The 16,810-nt window shown below is 36.9% G+C and overlaps 1 long non-coding RNA gene across 3 annotated transcripts in view; it reads right to left on the bottom strand.

Annotated features, from left to right (window-relative positions):
- Nucleotides 1–5,895: 5,895 nt before the first annotated feature.
- Nucleotides 5,896–16,810, bottom strand: part of LOC105375704 (uncharacterized) — a 177,474-nt gene continuing 166,559 nt past the window's right edge. For all 3 annotated transcript variants that reach the window (XR_928530.4, XR_928529.3, XR_928528.3), the window contains exon 3: nucleotides 5,896–8,319. This is a non-coding gene — a long non-coding RNA (uncharacterized LOC105375704). The remainder of the gene's footprint in view (nucleotides 8,320–16,810) is intronic.

A 16,810-nucleotide genomic window follows, 5' to 3' on the forward strand; every position in this document is an offset into this window, starting at 1 on the left:
TTAACCAACGAGAACAGTAATACTGTTCAAAGTTAAGGTATGCCCTTTGTCATGTTGTATTTACTTACCTGTTTACCCATCTGTCCCTTCCACTAAACTATGAGTTCTACAAGGTCTGGAATTAGGTGTATTTATAACTATACCCCATGTACCTTTTGGAAGGAATAAAGAAAAAGGAAAGGAGGCCTGTAGTTAGTTCACAGAAGAACAACTGGGATTCATGGGTGCTTGAATATTTTAACATTATATCAAACTAACCTGATAATGTGAGGCTATGAATATGGTTAGAGAAGTCTTCCCTGACTTTCCTATGTAGAATGGCTCCCCCAGTTTCTCATCACCTTCTTGTCATGTGACAAGAACTAAGTGAAGCCACAGAGATACAAAGATGCCTAAGACGATGGTTTTAAGGCAGCGGCAGATACAAAGCAGAGCTCTGTCTGTAGCTGCTGGAAAAGGTTTATCTAGACTACTAGCTTCACTAATAGTCTTTATCTCTTCATGTCTTTTTTATTTTAAAAATATTGCTTTTCTAATTTTTTTAAATTTCCTTTTTCACTTCCCTTCTTTTTTTTTTTTTTTTTTTTAAGATGGAGTCTTGCTCTGTCACCCAGTGCAGTGGGGGACTCTCAGCTCACTGCAACCTCCACCTCCTGGGCTCAAGCAGTTCTCCTGCCTTAGCCTCCCAAGTAGCTTGGTCTACAGGTGTGTGCCACGTAGCCCAGCTAATTTATGTTTTTCCAGAAGAGACAAGGTTTCTCTATGTTGGCCAGGCTGGTTTTGAACTCCTGACCTCAAGTGATCTGCCCGTCTCAGCCTCCCAAAGTGCTGGGATTACAGGCGTGAGCCACCGTGCCTGGCCAATTCCTATTTCTTTTAAGGCATTATCTCTTGTGTTTATTTTCTCTGGTATTCCTTTTCATTTCATCTTTGTGTTGGAAATGTTTTTCCTTTTATCTCTAATTCTTTTGTCGTTTTGTCCCCTCAGTACTGAGCTTTTCTGATTGTAACTTATAAGTTACCCAGTGAACACATTCTTCCACAAAACACCATTATTCAAAACCTTGAATAATTTTCCTAATGTTCTTAGACTTGTTTTAACGTGTGAAGTTACTATTTTGAGCTGTTTTGTGGGCACATCTTCCTGGCCTGCTTTCCTTGTCTGTAGATGTTTATTTGCTCCTTTTTTTTTTTTAAATAATAATTGTGTATGGGATTTTCCCTCCGTACTCTCCTGGTGTTCAGTTCTAGTTTTTCCCACATTTTTACAATGGGATGGAATGGAGGAAATCTTTTCTGACTTTAAGAAGCTCCCACTTCTGTTGTTTTTGCATAGTGGTCAAAGCGTCAGTGGCTTGCTTTCTGGGATTTCCTGGCCCCGAGCCCTCTCCACTGGACCTTTACTTTTCTTTATCCCATTTATCCCAATGCTGCTTTGGATTGTTTGCAGCAGATTCTTGTCAGTGTGGGGCCATGTCCCAGATGGGAGTGAGCAGTGGCGAGTCACAGGTTTTGGAGTTACAGGCAGGCTGGACTGCTCCGGTGCCCACAGACTGCCAGCAGGAGCGCCACCCTGGCTAAGAGGACAATGTGCTGTCTCCTATCTGGCTGCTCTGAGCAGTGGCCTGCAAGCCCACAGCTGCTGAGGCTCCTGCCTGCACCTGCTCTCACCTGCTGGCAGTGATCTCAGTCCTCAGCTTCATGGCTACCTTCTTCCTCCCGCACAGAACCTGACAGTCTGTGACTGTTGAGGGGTTACCACCACCTGCTTGTATTTTGAGGTCCCCTAGCTTTATTGTAAATGTTGCTTAGGTGTTTTGGCTTTGCCATCTAGTTGCTGTGTGTGTGTGTGTGTGTGTGTGTGTGTGTGTGTGTGTGTGTGTGTGTGGTGTGTGTGTAGGAATTCAGAGATTGACAATTTGGGCCACCGCCATCTCCCCCAAATACCAGTCAACTGCTTTTAAAACTAGGACAAACTAGAAATGAGCATTTATGACCTTCCAGAAAGGCTCTTTGAATTAAAGAACAGTCCTAAATATTTATCAAATGTATTTTCCCATGTCCCTATCAGCACCCACTATTCAGCCACTTATTGTTTTCCTAACCAGTTCAGCTGTGTTCCGTTTACTCCCACCCCTCACTCACAGTTTAAGTAACCTTTCTAGTATGCAAATACGACTATGTCACTTGTATTCCTACTGATTCAATCCTAAGTTCTTTGGCAGGGCATCCAAGGTCCCCATGACTGGGGTCTTTCTCCCTCTTTGCTCTGATGTCCCGTCACTTAGCCTTCAAACTCTGTACATTAATAATACTGGTCTGCTTGCAATCATGTACATACATGATGTTCTTTCAAGCCTCAGTGCTTCTGTGTGTCTTATTGTGTCTGCCTGGATTGTATTTCCCACTTTTCTTCTTCTGGCTAATTCTTACTGGACTTCCCAGGCTTCACTGCCCTTCTCTGAGTTCCCACAGCATCTTGTACTTATCTTTATTCTGTCATTTACCAAGTAAGATATATGTTATATGCTAAAGTGTCTATTTCCTCTACTTGGCAGTAAACTAGGGTCCATATGTTACTCATCCATGTGCCCCAGCATCAAACACAGTGTCTTGCACATAGATAGTTTTAATATCTTCACTGCTTCTTGCTTCTACCTGTCCTTTCTGAGTCATTTTACCTCTCTTGGTATTTCAGCTATGCCCCATTTCATCTACTGCCATGGTATATTAAAAGAGAAAAATATCAGTGCTGATGACTCCCAAATTCCTCTTTCTGACTCAAGCACCTCATCTGAGCTCCAGATCATTTATTCAACTTATTCGTTAACATCTGCAATTGCATGTCTCCCAGGAATCCAAAATCAAGGTCCAGCCCTCCACTAGTGTTCCCTTTCTTGATCAATGGCACCCTGTTGATCATGCCAGAAGACAAAAGTCATGCTAACTCATTGTGTTTTTTTTAATTGCCAAGCATCAGCTTTCGTTAATTCCACCTTCCAAGTTTATCTCAGATTTATTGTTTTCTCACCTTTTCCAGTCACTGCACCAGTTGAAGCCATATCATCTCTCACCTGAAGCCACTGCAAATAGATTCCTAACTATATCCCTGTTTCCACTCTTGACTTTCTCTAATCAATTTACACACGATAGACAAAATTACCCTTTGAAAATGAAAACCTGATTATATTATCCTCTGCTTAAAACCAATCAATGGCTTTTTGTTGTTCTTAGCATGAAACCTGAAAATCCTTAAATTGGCCTGTAAGTTCCTGTTCTTCCTTTTGTGCACGGGCTTTCTTTAATTTCCTTAAATTTAAACAGCTCCTTCCAATCATCCAGTTATGCTGTTTCCTCTGCCTAGATTCTCCTCTCCATCCTCCTTCATCCTCACTGGGGCAAACTCCTATTCTAGCTTTGAAATGGTAACAATTTTTCTTTTTATATTATTTGTTGCATCCCTAAGCACAGTTCCGTTTTGCTTGTTTGTGAACTTTACATAAATGAAAACACACTGTATCCGTCCTTTTGTGACTTGGATTTTATGTTCAACATTATGTGTAAAGGATTCATTCATGTTGCTGAGTGTATTGTTTGTTCATTTTCACTGCTTTATAATATTTCACATTTCCACAAAATCTATTTTAGACTCGATGAAGTTTAGGGTTTCTAGTTTTGGGCTATACTGAGCTATGAATGATGCTGCTATGAACCTTCTACAAATATTCTAGTCTACCCATGCACCCATTTTTTCAGGTATATACCTATGAACTTTGGCAGTTAATACCAAACTGCTCTCTAAAGTGGGCATTCAAGATTACACTCTTCTCAGGAGTATATAAGAGTTATTGTTGCTGTATATCCTTGCTGACACTTTTTAATTCATGGCAATCTGATGGAAGTATATGTTGCATACACTTTTTTATTGTAAATTAGTGTTATATAAAATACTAATATGGTGATATATGGTTGATTAGTTCCAAAAGATGACCACAACAATTCTTCTTACCTCAGTCTCCTTCTGCAATGTGAATCTGTAGCTTCTTCATTAAAAAGTAGAGTCTACTTCTCTTCCCCCTAAATATGGGCTGGCCCCATGACTTGCTTTGACTTCTAGGTCTGGGTCTTCAGAAGCCTAGCAGCTTCTAAGTTTATTTTCATGGAATCCAGCTGCCCTATAGATAAGTTCAGGCTAGACTACTGAATTATGACAGTCTATGCAGAGTGAGGCCAAGTCATCTCCCAGCTCTTCCAACCATCCCAGCTGATGTGGGTTGGATCTGTGTCCCTTCCTAAGTCTCATGTTGAATTGTAATCCCCAGTGTAGGAGGTGGGGCCTGGTGGGAGGTGATTGGATTATGGGGGCAGAGTTCTCATGAACAGTTTTGCACCATTACCCCCTTGATACTGAATAGTAAGTGAGTTCTCATGAGATCTGGTTGTTAAAAGTGGGTAGCACCTCCCCTGCCACCTTCCTCCTGCTCTCAGCCATGTGAAGTACCAGCTTTCTCTTCACTTTCTGCCATGATTGTAAGTTTCCTGAGGTCTCCTTAGAAGCCAAAGCTGCTATGCTTCCTGTACAGCCTGCAGAACTGTGGGCCAACTCTTTTCTTTGTAAAATTACCCAGTCTCAGGTATTTATTTACAGCAGTGCAACAACTGACTAATATACCAGCTAAGATGCCAGATATATGAGTGAAGTCATCTTAGACAACCAGCCTCGGTTGAGCCTTCAGCCGAATGCAGCTGCATGAGTGACCCCAGTCAACATCATGCAGTGACATAATATATGGCTGTTATTTTTTTTCTTTATTACCACTCCCTTAGAACAGCATGAAGGCTGTGATTCTAAAGCCACAGAGTTGTAGAAATTTTATTATACAGCAATAGGTCGTTGAATCACAATATATAAAAAGCCTTAAAAATCCTTATATCCCTTGTATCAGTTTCCTTTAAAAAAGAATCTATCTTAAAGATATATTCAAAATATTATCTTTAAGTGAGTACAAAAATATTCCCTGTAGTGTTATTTACTTTTAAAATATATATATAGAGAGAGATGGGGTCTCACTTTACTGCCCAGGCTGGTCTCAAACTCTTGGGCTCAAGTGATCCTCCCACCTTAGTCTCCCAAAGTTCTGGGACTACAACCATGAGCCACCACACCCAGCCTACATCTTTTTTTTTTTTTGACACGGAGTTTTGCTCTTGCCACCCAGGCTGGAGTGCAGTGGTGCAATCTCAGCTCACTGCAACCTCTGCCTCTTGAGTTCAAGCGATTCTCCTGCCTCAGCCTCCTGAGTAGCTGGGATTACAGTCACCCACCACCATGCCCAGCTAATTTTTGTATTTTTAGTAGAGACAGGGTTTCACCATGTTGGCCAGGTTGGTCTGGAACTCCTGACCTCTTTTCAAAGTGGAAATAACCTCTAAATTTAAAAATTGTAAAAGGTTGTTAATAAAATAAATTATGAGGCTGAGCATGGTGGCTCACACCTGTAATACCAGCACCTTGGGAGGCCAAGGTGGTGGATGGATCACTTGAGGCCAGGAGTTTGAGATCAGCCTGGCCAACATGACGAAACCCTGTCTCTACTAAAAATACAAAAAAAAAAAAAAAATTAGCCGGCCATGGTGGTGCACATCTGTAATTTCAGCTACTCAGGAGGGTGAGGCATGAGAATCACTTGAACCTGGAAGGCAGAGGTTGCAGTGAACCAAGATTGCACCATTGTACTCCAGCCTAGGTGCCAGAATGAGACTGTCTCAAAAAAATAAAAATAAATAAATAAATAAATTATGATGCATTCATGAGATAGAACACTATACAGACAAAACTACATTGAAAGGATTTTAATGACATTGGAAACTGCTGAAGAAAAATATCAGGTGGTAATGAATCTATCTATCTTTCTACCTTCATTTCATTCCTGACTTGTTTAAAAAATTGTACATAGAAAAAGACTAAAATTAAATGGAAAAAAATAAACACATTAACAATGGTTTGATGGTTTGATTTAATTTTTCCCATTCTTTGAAAGTTTTTTACAGAGACCATATGTTGCTTATATATACAGAAAAGAAGCTAAGGTTGTTTTTTGGAGTACAGTCATATACCACATAATGATGGTTTGGTCAGTGACAAACCCACATATACTATATCATGGTCTCCTAAGATTATAGTACATATTTTTACTGTACTTTTTCTATGTTTAGATACACAGATACTTACCATTGTGTTACAACTGCCTGCAGTATTCAGTACAGTAACATGCTGTGTGGGTTTGTAGCCTAGGAGCAATAGGCTATACCATCTAGCATAAGTGTGTGGTAGGCTATACCATCTAGGTTTGTGTGAGTACACACTGATGTTAGCACAGTGATGAACTAGCCTAAGGACACATTTCTCAGAACATATCTCATCTCCTCATTGTTAAGTGACAGAAGACTGTAGTAGAAAATCTGCAGTTAAATTTGACATGCTCTGGCAGAAAAAAATGCCTCTACAGTTGAAATCACACAGGCTGTAGTACTCTACTTCCCCTGGTGGCAATCGGTTCAAATTTCAGGAGCAGACCTGAAGGCTTGATAGCTCAGATTTTTCAAAGTTGAACAATATAGCGTTTCTATCTCTTAATTTATCAGAATTAATAAGAAAAAAAGGCCATACTATTTTACTGTTAGAATTATTTTGTAAAGCAAAGAGCATTTGAAAGTCCTGAAGGTAGGAAGAACATAATCTGAAAATAAATGACAATCCTTTAGATACATCTAACTTTATGAATAAATAACTTTATGAAAAATATGGTCTTATTAATTTTCATTTTTCTATGGACTGGTGGAAACTTCATTTGGGAAACTCTGGCTCAAAGAAAGAAAAAACAATGCTAAAAGTTAAAATTACACAGGGATAGCAAATGTCATATATATTCTTCCTTGGTAGGAAAGCACCTAGGTTTCCCAATAAATTATCTTTAAAGTAGAGAGTAATAGAACTTCTAGAGCCATTGAGTTAAGTTAGGTTTCTTTCTAGGGCAGAGTTTCTCTAAGTGGAAGTGCTTATTAAATAATCGGTCTCAGGGACCCTACCCTAGACCCACCGATATTGAACCTCTGGGATTGTGACCTAGGAATCTAGATTTTTAACAACATCCTCAGGAGAGTCTTACACACTTAAACTTGGAAACATTGTCTTTGAGGGGTTCTCTATCTTGATCTGGTTGGCGGTTACATGGCTGTAGACTATGGAAAGATTTATCAAGATGTACACTTGTGTACTTTACATAAATGACACCTCATTAAAAAGCAAAAAGAAACAAAAAATGCTAGGAATTACATAATGCTTTAACAAAACAAGTAAACTTATTGTTTTGAAATTTTTAATTAACATTTGTGGCCATAATTTATATATTTCTGTTGTACTGAAGCAGATTGTTTTGCATTTTTGTTAGCAAACTTCGGCAGTGGTCATTTTAGAAACAATCTTGTACATACTTTTGATTAAAACACTTGATTTTGTTAGTGAAAAAAGAATTCTAATTTATAGCCAAGAATTTTTGGCCACTATTTTTTTTCTTGGATATAGATAACATTTATTATTTTACATTTTAAAAAATTTATATTACTTTAGGAGGTTGATGAGTCAAGTAAATGGTACTTTGAACACCCTGTTGTCTTTGTTTTGTGGCAGTGAAGAAATGAAAATTTCTGTAAAAAGAAAGAGAGGAAAGAAGGAAGGAAGGGTGGGAGCTGGAAGGAGAAAGGGAGGGAGAAAAGAAGGAAGAAAAACAAGGAAAAACAGAAGGAAAGAAAATGGAAGCAACCATTGCCCCAAGGACAAACTATTCCTGCCCACCCTCTCAAAACTAATCCCCTCAAATAGCCCAAGACGTTTCATATGTTTTTATCCTTAGTTACATCTCCAGCTATTTATTCTTTGATTCCCATCTAGAACAGCCTCTAGCTATTGTAACACTTTATGTTTGAATATATTTTGTCATTGTTTCCATTAGTGTGTCTGTACAAACTTTTTTTTTTTTTTTTAAATATGACTGTTACTCCATTGAAAAGAGAAGAGCAGGATTCACTGTAAGGGGCAGAGAATCTGTGGCCTCTCATTTTGATCCCTGATTTATCACACACCTTCACAGTTTTACCAGTGTCAGAAGGAGGCCTGTTTTCTCCTGGAATGCTACATTCTTTGGGGATGAAGTGTTTTGAGTCTTTAGCACTGCATTGGAGTGTCTCTGGAGTGTTTAGCATCTGGATACAGCCGTCATCACAGTAATGAGAGATAGAGCAGGCCAGAGCTGGCTCTGTCTGGAGGGAAAAACAGGATCAACACCAAATCTACCATGGCTCTTTCCGTTGTTACAAAAATAATGGATCAATAAGGCATCTCTGTGAAATACTTATTCCATCACCCAATCTATTGTTTACACATAGTTAGAAAGTGAGTCTAATAGTTAATGACATTACTATAAAATTTCAGGAGATTATCAACCATAATTTTCAGGAGATTAATAACCATAACAACAGTTGCAGTCTGTTTTTGTAAACTCTGTTTTCCTCATACAAATGTAATATCTTTCTCTTTTTCAATAATAGTACTAATAATATTAGAAGGACTTCTGAAATATAACAAATGGCCCATGTTTGCTCAAATAGTCTTTCGTTAGTATCACCGAGAGACAAAATTCTATGCTAGATAGATCATCTGATGTATTTTGTATGTATAAAAAATTTGCATAGCTTTTATTATAAAAATCACACACGTATGTAATAAAAAGATAAGCTGAAAAGATCATAATTAAAGTCTCTGGTGGAACAGCCACTTAGAGATAATCACTAATACCAACTTACAATAGAGGTATGTTCTGATAAAGCCATCATAAGTCAAAAATATCATAAATCAAAAATGCAACTAATATCCCAATAAACCCATTGTAAAGTCAAAAAATCATAAGTTGAATCATTGTAAGTCAGTGGCCATCTGTATTTGTAGAGATACATCAAGAGTGAGATAGATCATTGCATTTATTTAGCACAAACTATGACCAGACCTTGTGTTATGAATACTAGCTCATCTAGGTATTACTGTTATAAACACTATTTTTACAGAGGAGAAAGCCAAGAAACAAAGTTAAATAATGTATCCAAGGTCATAACACTAGTAGATGGTAGAGCTAGAATTTGAGGCCAAGCAGTCTGACTTTGAAGTTTTTATTCTTAATCAATTGCTAGGGTTACAATTACATATATATGTGTATATAATTTTTTTGAGACAGGGTCTCGCTCTGTTGCCCAGGCTAGAGTACAGTGACACAGTTTTGGCTCACTGCAGCCTCAACCTCCTGGGCTGGAGTCATTCTACCTCAGCCCCACAAAAAGCTGGGACTACAGGTGTGCACCACCATGCCTGGCTAATTTTAAAAAATATATTTTTGTAGAGATGGGGTCCTGCTATGTTGCCCATGCTGATCTTGAACTCCGGAGCTCAAGTAATCCTCCTGCCATGGCCCTCTAAAATGCTGGGATTATAGCCATGAGCTACTGTGCCCAGCCATCAGCATATTTTTAAACAGCTTTATTGAGGTATAATTGATATAATAAACTGCACATATTTAAAATGTACAATTTAGTAAATTTCAAAAACTATTTTTCAGTGTACATTCCAATAGTGTTCAATATATTCATATTGTTGTGTAACACATATTCAGAACTTTTCATCTTGCAGAACTGAAACTCTACCCATTAGACAGTAACAATCCATTTCTCCCTCCCCTCAGCTTCTGGCAACCACCATTCTACTTTTTGTTTCTATGAATTGACTATTTTAGATAGTGGAATCATACAGTATTTGTGATGTTGTTACTAGCTTATTTCATTTAGCAGAATGTCCCCAAGGTTCATCCATGTTGTAGTATGTGTCAGAACCTCTTTCCTTTTTTTAAGGCTGAATAATATTCCATTGCGTGTATACCACAATTTGCTTATCCATTCATCTATCAATGAACAATGGGTTTCTTCCATCTCTTGGCTATTGTGAATAATGCTGCAATTAACATGGGTGTGCACCTATCTCTTTCAGATCCAGCTTTGAATTCTTTTGGAAATACATCAAAAAATGAAATCACTGCATTATACTATAATTTTATTTTTAATTTTTTGAGGAACTGCCGTATTGTTTCCATGGTGACCATATCATCTTACATTATTACAGACAGTGCACAGAGGTTCCGATTTCTTCACATCCTTGTCAATATTTATTATTTTCTGGGTATTTTTTTTTTTTTGGATGGTAGACATCCAAATGGGTGTGAGGTGATGTCTTATTGTGGTTTTAATTGGTGTTTCTCTGATGATTAGTGATATTGAACATCTTTTCATATGCTTGTTGGTCATTTTTATATCATCTTTGGTATATGTGCTGCCAAAGTGAGCACTGTATATCATCTTTGGAGAAATGTCTGTCCAAGTCCTTTGCCCATTTTTTAATCAGGCTATTTTGTTGTTGTTGTTGAGTTGTAGAAGTTCTTTATGTATCCTGGATATTAACCCTTCCAATATATCTTTTTAAACAAATGGAATTACACTTTGCAGGCTGTTTAGCAAACTATTTTTTCATTTTATATATGTTGAATATATTATTTTATATTATTTTGCTACAGGATTTATATTCTGTCATATCTATAGTATACTTTTTAATGCTTTCTCTATTGTAGACACTTTTACTTTTGCTATTATAAATAAAATTATACTGATCATATTTATTAATTTTATGGATAATTTCTGTATTAGCTTCCTGAGGCTGTTGTAACAAAGTACCACAAATTTGGTGGGTAGAAACAATAGAAATTTATTTTCTCACAGCTCTGGAGGCTATAAATCTGAAATCTAGGAGGGCCACACTAATCCAGGGACTCAAGTAAAGATAATGTTCCTTGGATTTTCAAGCTTCTGATGGCTGTTGGCATTCCTTGACTTGTGGATGCATTTCCTCCCTGTTCATTGCTTCCTGCTCATTTGTCTGTGTGTTCTCCCACTGCCTCTGTCTTATAAGGACAGTTGTCATTGGGTTTAGGACCCACGCAGATAATCAAGGATGATCTCATCATCCCAAGATCCTTAATTATATCTTCTTCAAAGACCCTTGTTCCTTATAAAGTAACATTCACAAATTCCTGGGGTTGGAACATGGACATGTCTTTTAGGGGAACACAATTCAGTCCACTACAGTTTTATGAAGATAAATTCCTAAAATTAGAATGGTTAGTTCATGGTATGTAAAATTTAAACATTTTAAGATAAGTATTTCAGAATTGTGCTCCAAAATGACTTTGAATTTTTAATGTTCTTAAACACATGTGTGTATTGTGTCTTCATGCATAGACACCATGCAATAACGTATATGTGTGTTGTGTGTGCATGCATAGACACCACACAATACATATGTGTGTGTTGTGTGTGCATGCATAGACACCGTGCAGTAACATAGGTGCACCCCATAAAATAAAAAAAGGAAAGCAAAGAGAAAGTTGGAGTTAGGGAGAAATGAGAAAAACAATGGTAGGGACCACTCAGAGGTGCCCTTGATAATCTTAAGTACTATCAGTAGCTGTTTCAATAAAACATACTTTATTGGTCTATGTCCAGAAAAATGGCCAAACTTGTGTTTTGATCTATTTGCTTATGTCTGTCTTGTTTCTCTCTAGAAATATGTTTCATTTTTCAAATCTTTGCATTTTGGTGTAAAAAGTTAATCTTCAATTTTGACCAATGAACATTTCCATGAAAAAAAAAAAACTTTTTATTCCACTTTCTTCATTTGTCACATAATCTTTGATGTATGGATTTGTGAACTTTTAAAAAATGATTTCATGAATAAGATCAGAAAAGCTTTATACATACGTACGTATGTATGTATTTTGTTGGGAGGTAGAAAACCACCAGTATGGAGTATTTCTTTTATTAAACATAGTTGAAAAGTTCACCAAAAAGGAGCTTTGTTCCAGGATAAAAGTCATTTTCAAGAGCATTTAGGTAATAAATCATGTGGAATTGTATTTTCAATACTTTATCATGAATAGCAATCAATCACTGGTTTCTTGATAGAGGGTTACTTTTTGTAATCAACTTACAGAGCTCATTACCCATTGAGTGTGAGTTCCTTCAAAAGTGGAAGCAATGCACTTATTCCAGCAATGTGATCATTGCTCAAAACTCATTTTTAAACTTGCCTTAAAACTAACTGCTTTTAAATGGAGCATTAAAGAGTCTCAAAAATAAATCAATTTCATTTATCTGATAAACTCACCTAGTTTTTATTCCATAATGTACATTTATTTTTCAGTTTGACCATTCATTGACTTGACTTTGAATAACTTCTATTTGGTTCCAAAAATCAAGTCTACCTTTGTGGAAAAATAATTTGCCACCAGAGGAGGATACTCAAAAGAATATGCTGCTATATTTTCTAAAAACAATTTAAGCTACAATATTATCATCAGAATAACCTCACCTGGGGAGGTTACTTTGAGAGACAGAATACTCAGAAGTGTTATTTGTGGTATGTTTTTACTAATATCCTGACACAATACTATGACGTAACACAATAGAATCATAAGAAAATAGATTTAATGAGGGACAAGCTACCCTTGGTGTTTTTCAAGTCAAATTTTACAAATAAAGAAAGAGGCAACTTAGGCAACCTAAGTAAGTTACAGAAGGCTAGCCATATTCTCAGTTGGTGATGGAGGTTACGGAGATCCAAGTCTTTTTTTTTTTTTTTTAATTTTAGGGCTTTTAAAAAACCCCTATAATATAGTGAGCTGAATTGGCAAGTGGCTAGCAAAGTTTAATCTGCAGATGTGCTCCTATTAGCTGGAAATTTTAAAATATGATTGTAAATACCTTTAGGTAGGGGGAATAATTCTTCACTTCATATTAGCAACAGGTTTTAGTCATGTCTGAAACATATGGCCCTTGGGTAAAGTTGTTAGATTTAGCAAATAAAAGTTTGAATTTCTGATAACACTTAATTTTTTACTCTGAATATGCTCCAAACATTGCATGGGATATACTCATACTCAAGCTATTCATCGTTCATTTGAAATTAAAATTTAACTGGGCATCATATATTTTATTTGGCAAACATAGCTTTGGAGGATATGAAGCATATATACTGCCATTTTGAATCCAGTCTACCAGCCAGATGTGGCAGAAATATTTACTATTCACTAAACAGGTTTAGGTTCTCCCACATTTTGCAGCTTCCTTAAAATTAGGCAGAGCCATATGACTAGTTCTGGCCAGTGCTATGGTTTTACAAATGCTGTTATGTCAGTTGACTAATATACTTAAAAGCCAAACACAATTCTCCAGGTCACTCATTGCCTGTTGCAGTGAACTAGAACCATGTGTTCAAGATGTTCTAGATTCAAGACCCAGCAGCCTTGGATCCCTGAAGAAAAGTTGGATCGAAGGTACTCAGAAGAACCACGGGACCTACAGCATACTTTGTGTGTGTTGGGAACAATCCTTTATTAGTTAATCCACTGAAATTTTAGGGTTGGTTCGTTCCTGCAGCTTGGCATAAACTATCCGGACTAACACACTGTATCATCACATGAATTAAATAAATTCTGTGAGTCTAACTTTGTTGTTGTTGTTGTTTAATCTTCATGGAATTGCCATCAACTTGTCAGATTTATTTGGAGGACTGAATGAGAATTACAAGTAAAAGTCTTCAGCATTCTGTCTGCTGCCTGGTAGGTTGCAGCAAATGAGACCAATATTTAATGATAACATGTCCATTATGAGTATTATTTTAATTATTATAGCAATCTTATGAAATTGGTGTTATTATCTTTTCCATTTTATAACTTTCCGTATAAATTTTATAAGGAAAATGAAGCTTGGAGTGGTTAATAAATTTGCCCAACATCATTTCACAAAGCTCTTGTTAAAAATAGAGATAAGTCTCTATTCCAGAACAGTCTAACTCCAAAATCCCTATTTTCAAATCCATGCCACATACATATTTTCCTGTGACATACAGAAGCCTGTTTCTGTGTCATTCATTCATTTTTAACACAAATATGAATTCAGATGCAGTGGCTCACACCTGTAATCCCAGCTACTTGGGAGGCTGAAGCAGGATAAACCCTTGAGCCCAGGAGTTGGAGGCTGCAGTGAGCTATAATTGTACCACTGCACTCCAGCCTGGGCAACAGAGGGAGACCCTGTCTCTTAAAAAACAAACAAACATTTATATATATAGATTGATTGTTGACCTCATAAAATGCCATGTGTGTTAGTATGTTTTTGTGTTGCTAGAAAAGAATACCTGAGACTAGGTGATTTATAAAGAAAAGTGGTTTATTTTGGCTCATGGTTCAACTGGACTCTTGATGCGCCCCTAGTGGAAATGTTCTCCTTTGGAAAGCAGAATCTCTAGATCCACAGAACTCAAAGATCTATGCTACAATAATAAAGAAACCTTAAATTTCAGTGAAGATCAATCTTTAGGTCATTTAAACAATTAGCAGCCAAGAAGAGAAGAAAAAGGTAGAAAAGGAGACCAAAAAGGAAGTGGTCAGTTATGAGGAGGGAAAAAAAAGTGTGTAATGTTGCTGAAGCCAAAAGAAAAAAGCATTTCAAGAAATAGAGTTTGATCAATTATTATCAAATGCTGCTCCAAGAAAGGTACAATAAGTTAAGGAGTGAGAATAGACTACTAGATTCAATAAGAATTAATTAACTTGGCTGGGCACAGTTGCTCACATCTATAATCCTAGCACTTTGGGAAGCGGAGGCAAGAAGAAGACTTGAGGCCTGGAATTCAAGACCAGCCTGGCCAACACAGTGAGACCCCCATCTCTACAAAAAATAAATAAATTTAATTATCCAGGTATGGTGGTGTGCACCCATAGTCCCAGCTACTTGGGAGGCTGAGGTAGGTAGATTTCTTGAGCCCAGGAGTTGGAGGTTGCAGTGAGCTATGATTGTGCCACTGCACTCCAGCTGAAGAAATGATGTCCAGACACAGGGCTCATGCCTGTAATCCCAACACTCTGGGAGGAGGCAGGAGGGTTGTTTGAGCCCAGGAGTTCAAGACTAGCCTGGGCAACATAGCTAAGCCCTGTCTCTATTGAAAAAAAAAAAAAAAAAAAGAATTGATGGCCTTGAAGAATGTATTTTCAGTGGCGTGGAGGTGAAGAAAGACTAAAATAGAAGGAAAGAAAGTGAAGATGGCGAGTATGGATGCTTTTAAGATGTTTTTCTATAGATGGGAAGGAGAGGTAAAGAAGGTACCTTAAAGCAAAAGGCACAAAGGATTCCTTTTTAAGGTGGGAGATATTACGGAATGTTGATGGAAATAACCCAGTAGAGAGGAAATGACTAAAGCCGTTTGATTCTTTTTTTGTCATAGGTGTCTAACAAGAAGTTCTCAGTAAATGCTATTTACTCTGATTATTTTATGCCACTTTTAAAATCAGACCTTTATCATTATAAAATCACCTGCCCCCTTATCTTATTGATTTTTTTTATTTCTAGCAAGTTTCCAAGTATGTCTTCAATATACTTCAAATTTCAAATGTCTATGAATGTTGCTATGAAAAATAAGAAATAGGAAAGTTTACTGTTTCTTATGACCATGTGAAAATAAAGTTACATACATTGTTTTGGAGGGAAGGGGTTATGTAAGCCGGTTCGTAATTGAATAAAAACCTGTTATCCTCCACCCCTCCCCCGCAAATAGTTTAGAAGTATGATAACGTTTATTATTTGACGAGACTTTTGTCAGTAGTCAATACTAGAATGCCCTGTGGATGTGTAGGGCCACCAAGCCAAAGAAATAAAAAATACAAACAACCACAACACACAGAATAAAGAATATGTTCAGTGGAACTGTTGCAGAGCATGAAGCCCAAGTTGAGTGTTCAGATAAAAACTCTCCCTGTTTAAAAGTAACTGTGGTGACTGGGTAACTAATCAAGATGTCTGGGATTAGACCTATTAGTTTAGTGAACGTAGGACAAAGACAAAGGGATAGTATGGCATAGAGTTTTGTTATTTTGAGCAAAAGAGAAAAAAATGAACCTCTCATGAAATTGTTCAATTTGTGTGTGAGGAAAAGCCATGGCTATAACCAATCAGAGCCTTCGGCCAAGTGAAAGATTACAGAGAATTATTGTCAGATGCTGGAATTTTCCTTCCAGATAAATGACAACCCTGTACCTTGAAAATTTCAAGAGCAGTCTTCCAAAACCCCTATAAAATATTAAACTAATATACTTGCAATTTTAGTACAAATCAGGAAATGCAAAAATTACAGTACTCATAGTGATATTAACTGAGTTCACAGGGTGCACATCAGGACTTTTATTCCAAAGCAGCCCAGTTTGAGGAGTTAATATTTCTTTGGGGACTAAAATACTTGTATTTTCCATCTTCTCTGAATTAAGATTAGAAAATGAAAATGAGGGTTTACATACTGCGTTTAAAATATAATTTCTCAGCATTGCCAAGATGTTTGGCTGACCTCTGATTTTCTATCAATATTTAAGGGAAAGTATTAAATAGAAAATCATCTTGAAGCAAATTCAAAGAACATGTCATGTACTAGGGCTTTTATATGTTTTATATTTATAATGTAGTAATTTTATTTTGTGACTAGTTTCCATAACATGTTTCTATAAATTAAAAGGAGAAAAATATCTAATTTCTAAGGGCAAATCTCCAAGTTTTTCACTTTTTATGTGAAAACACTGAACAGAATTATGCAGATAACTTAACATTGAACTTA

This window comes from Homo sapiens, chromosome 8 (genome assembly GCF_000001405.40).
Source record: "Homo sapiens chromosome 8, GRCh38.p14 Primary Assembly".
NCBI lineage: Eukaryota > Metazoa > Chordata > Mammalia > Primates > Hominidae > Homo > Homo sapiens.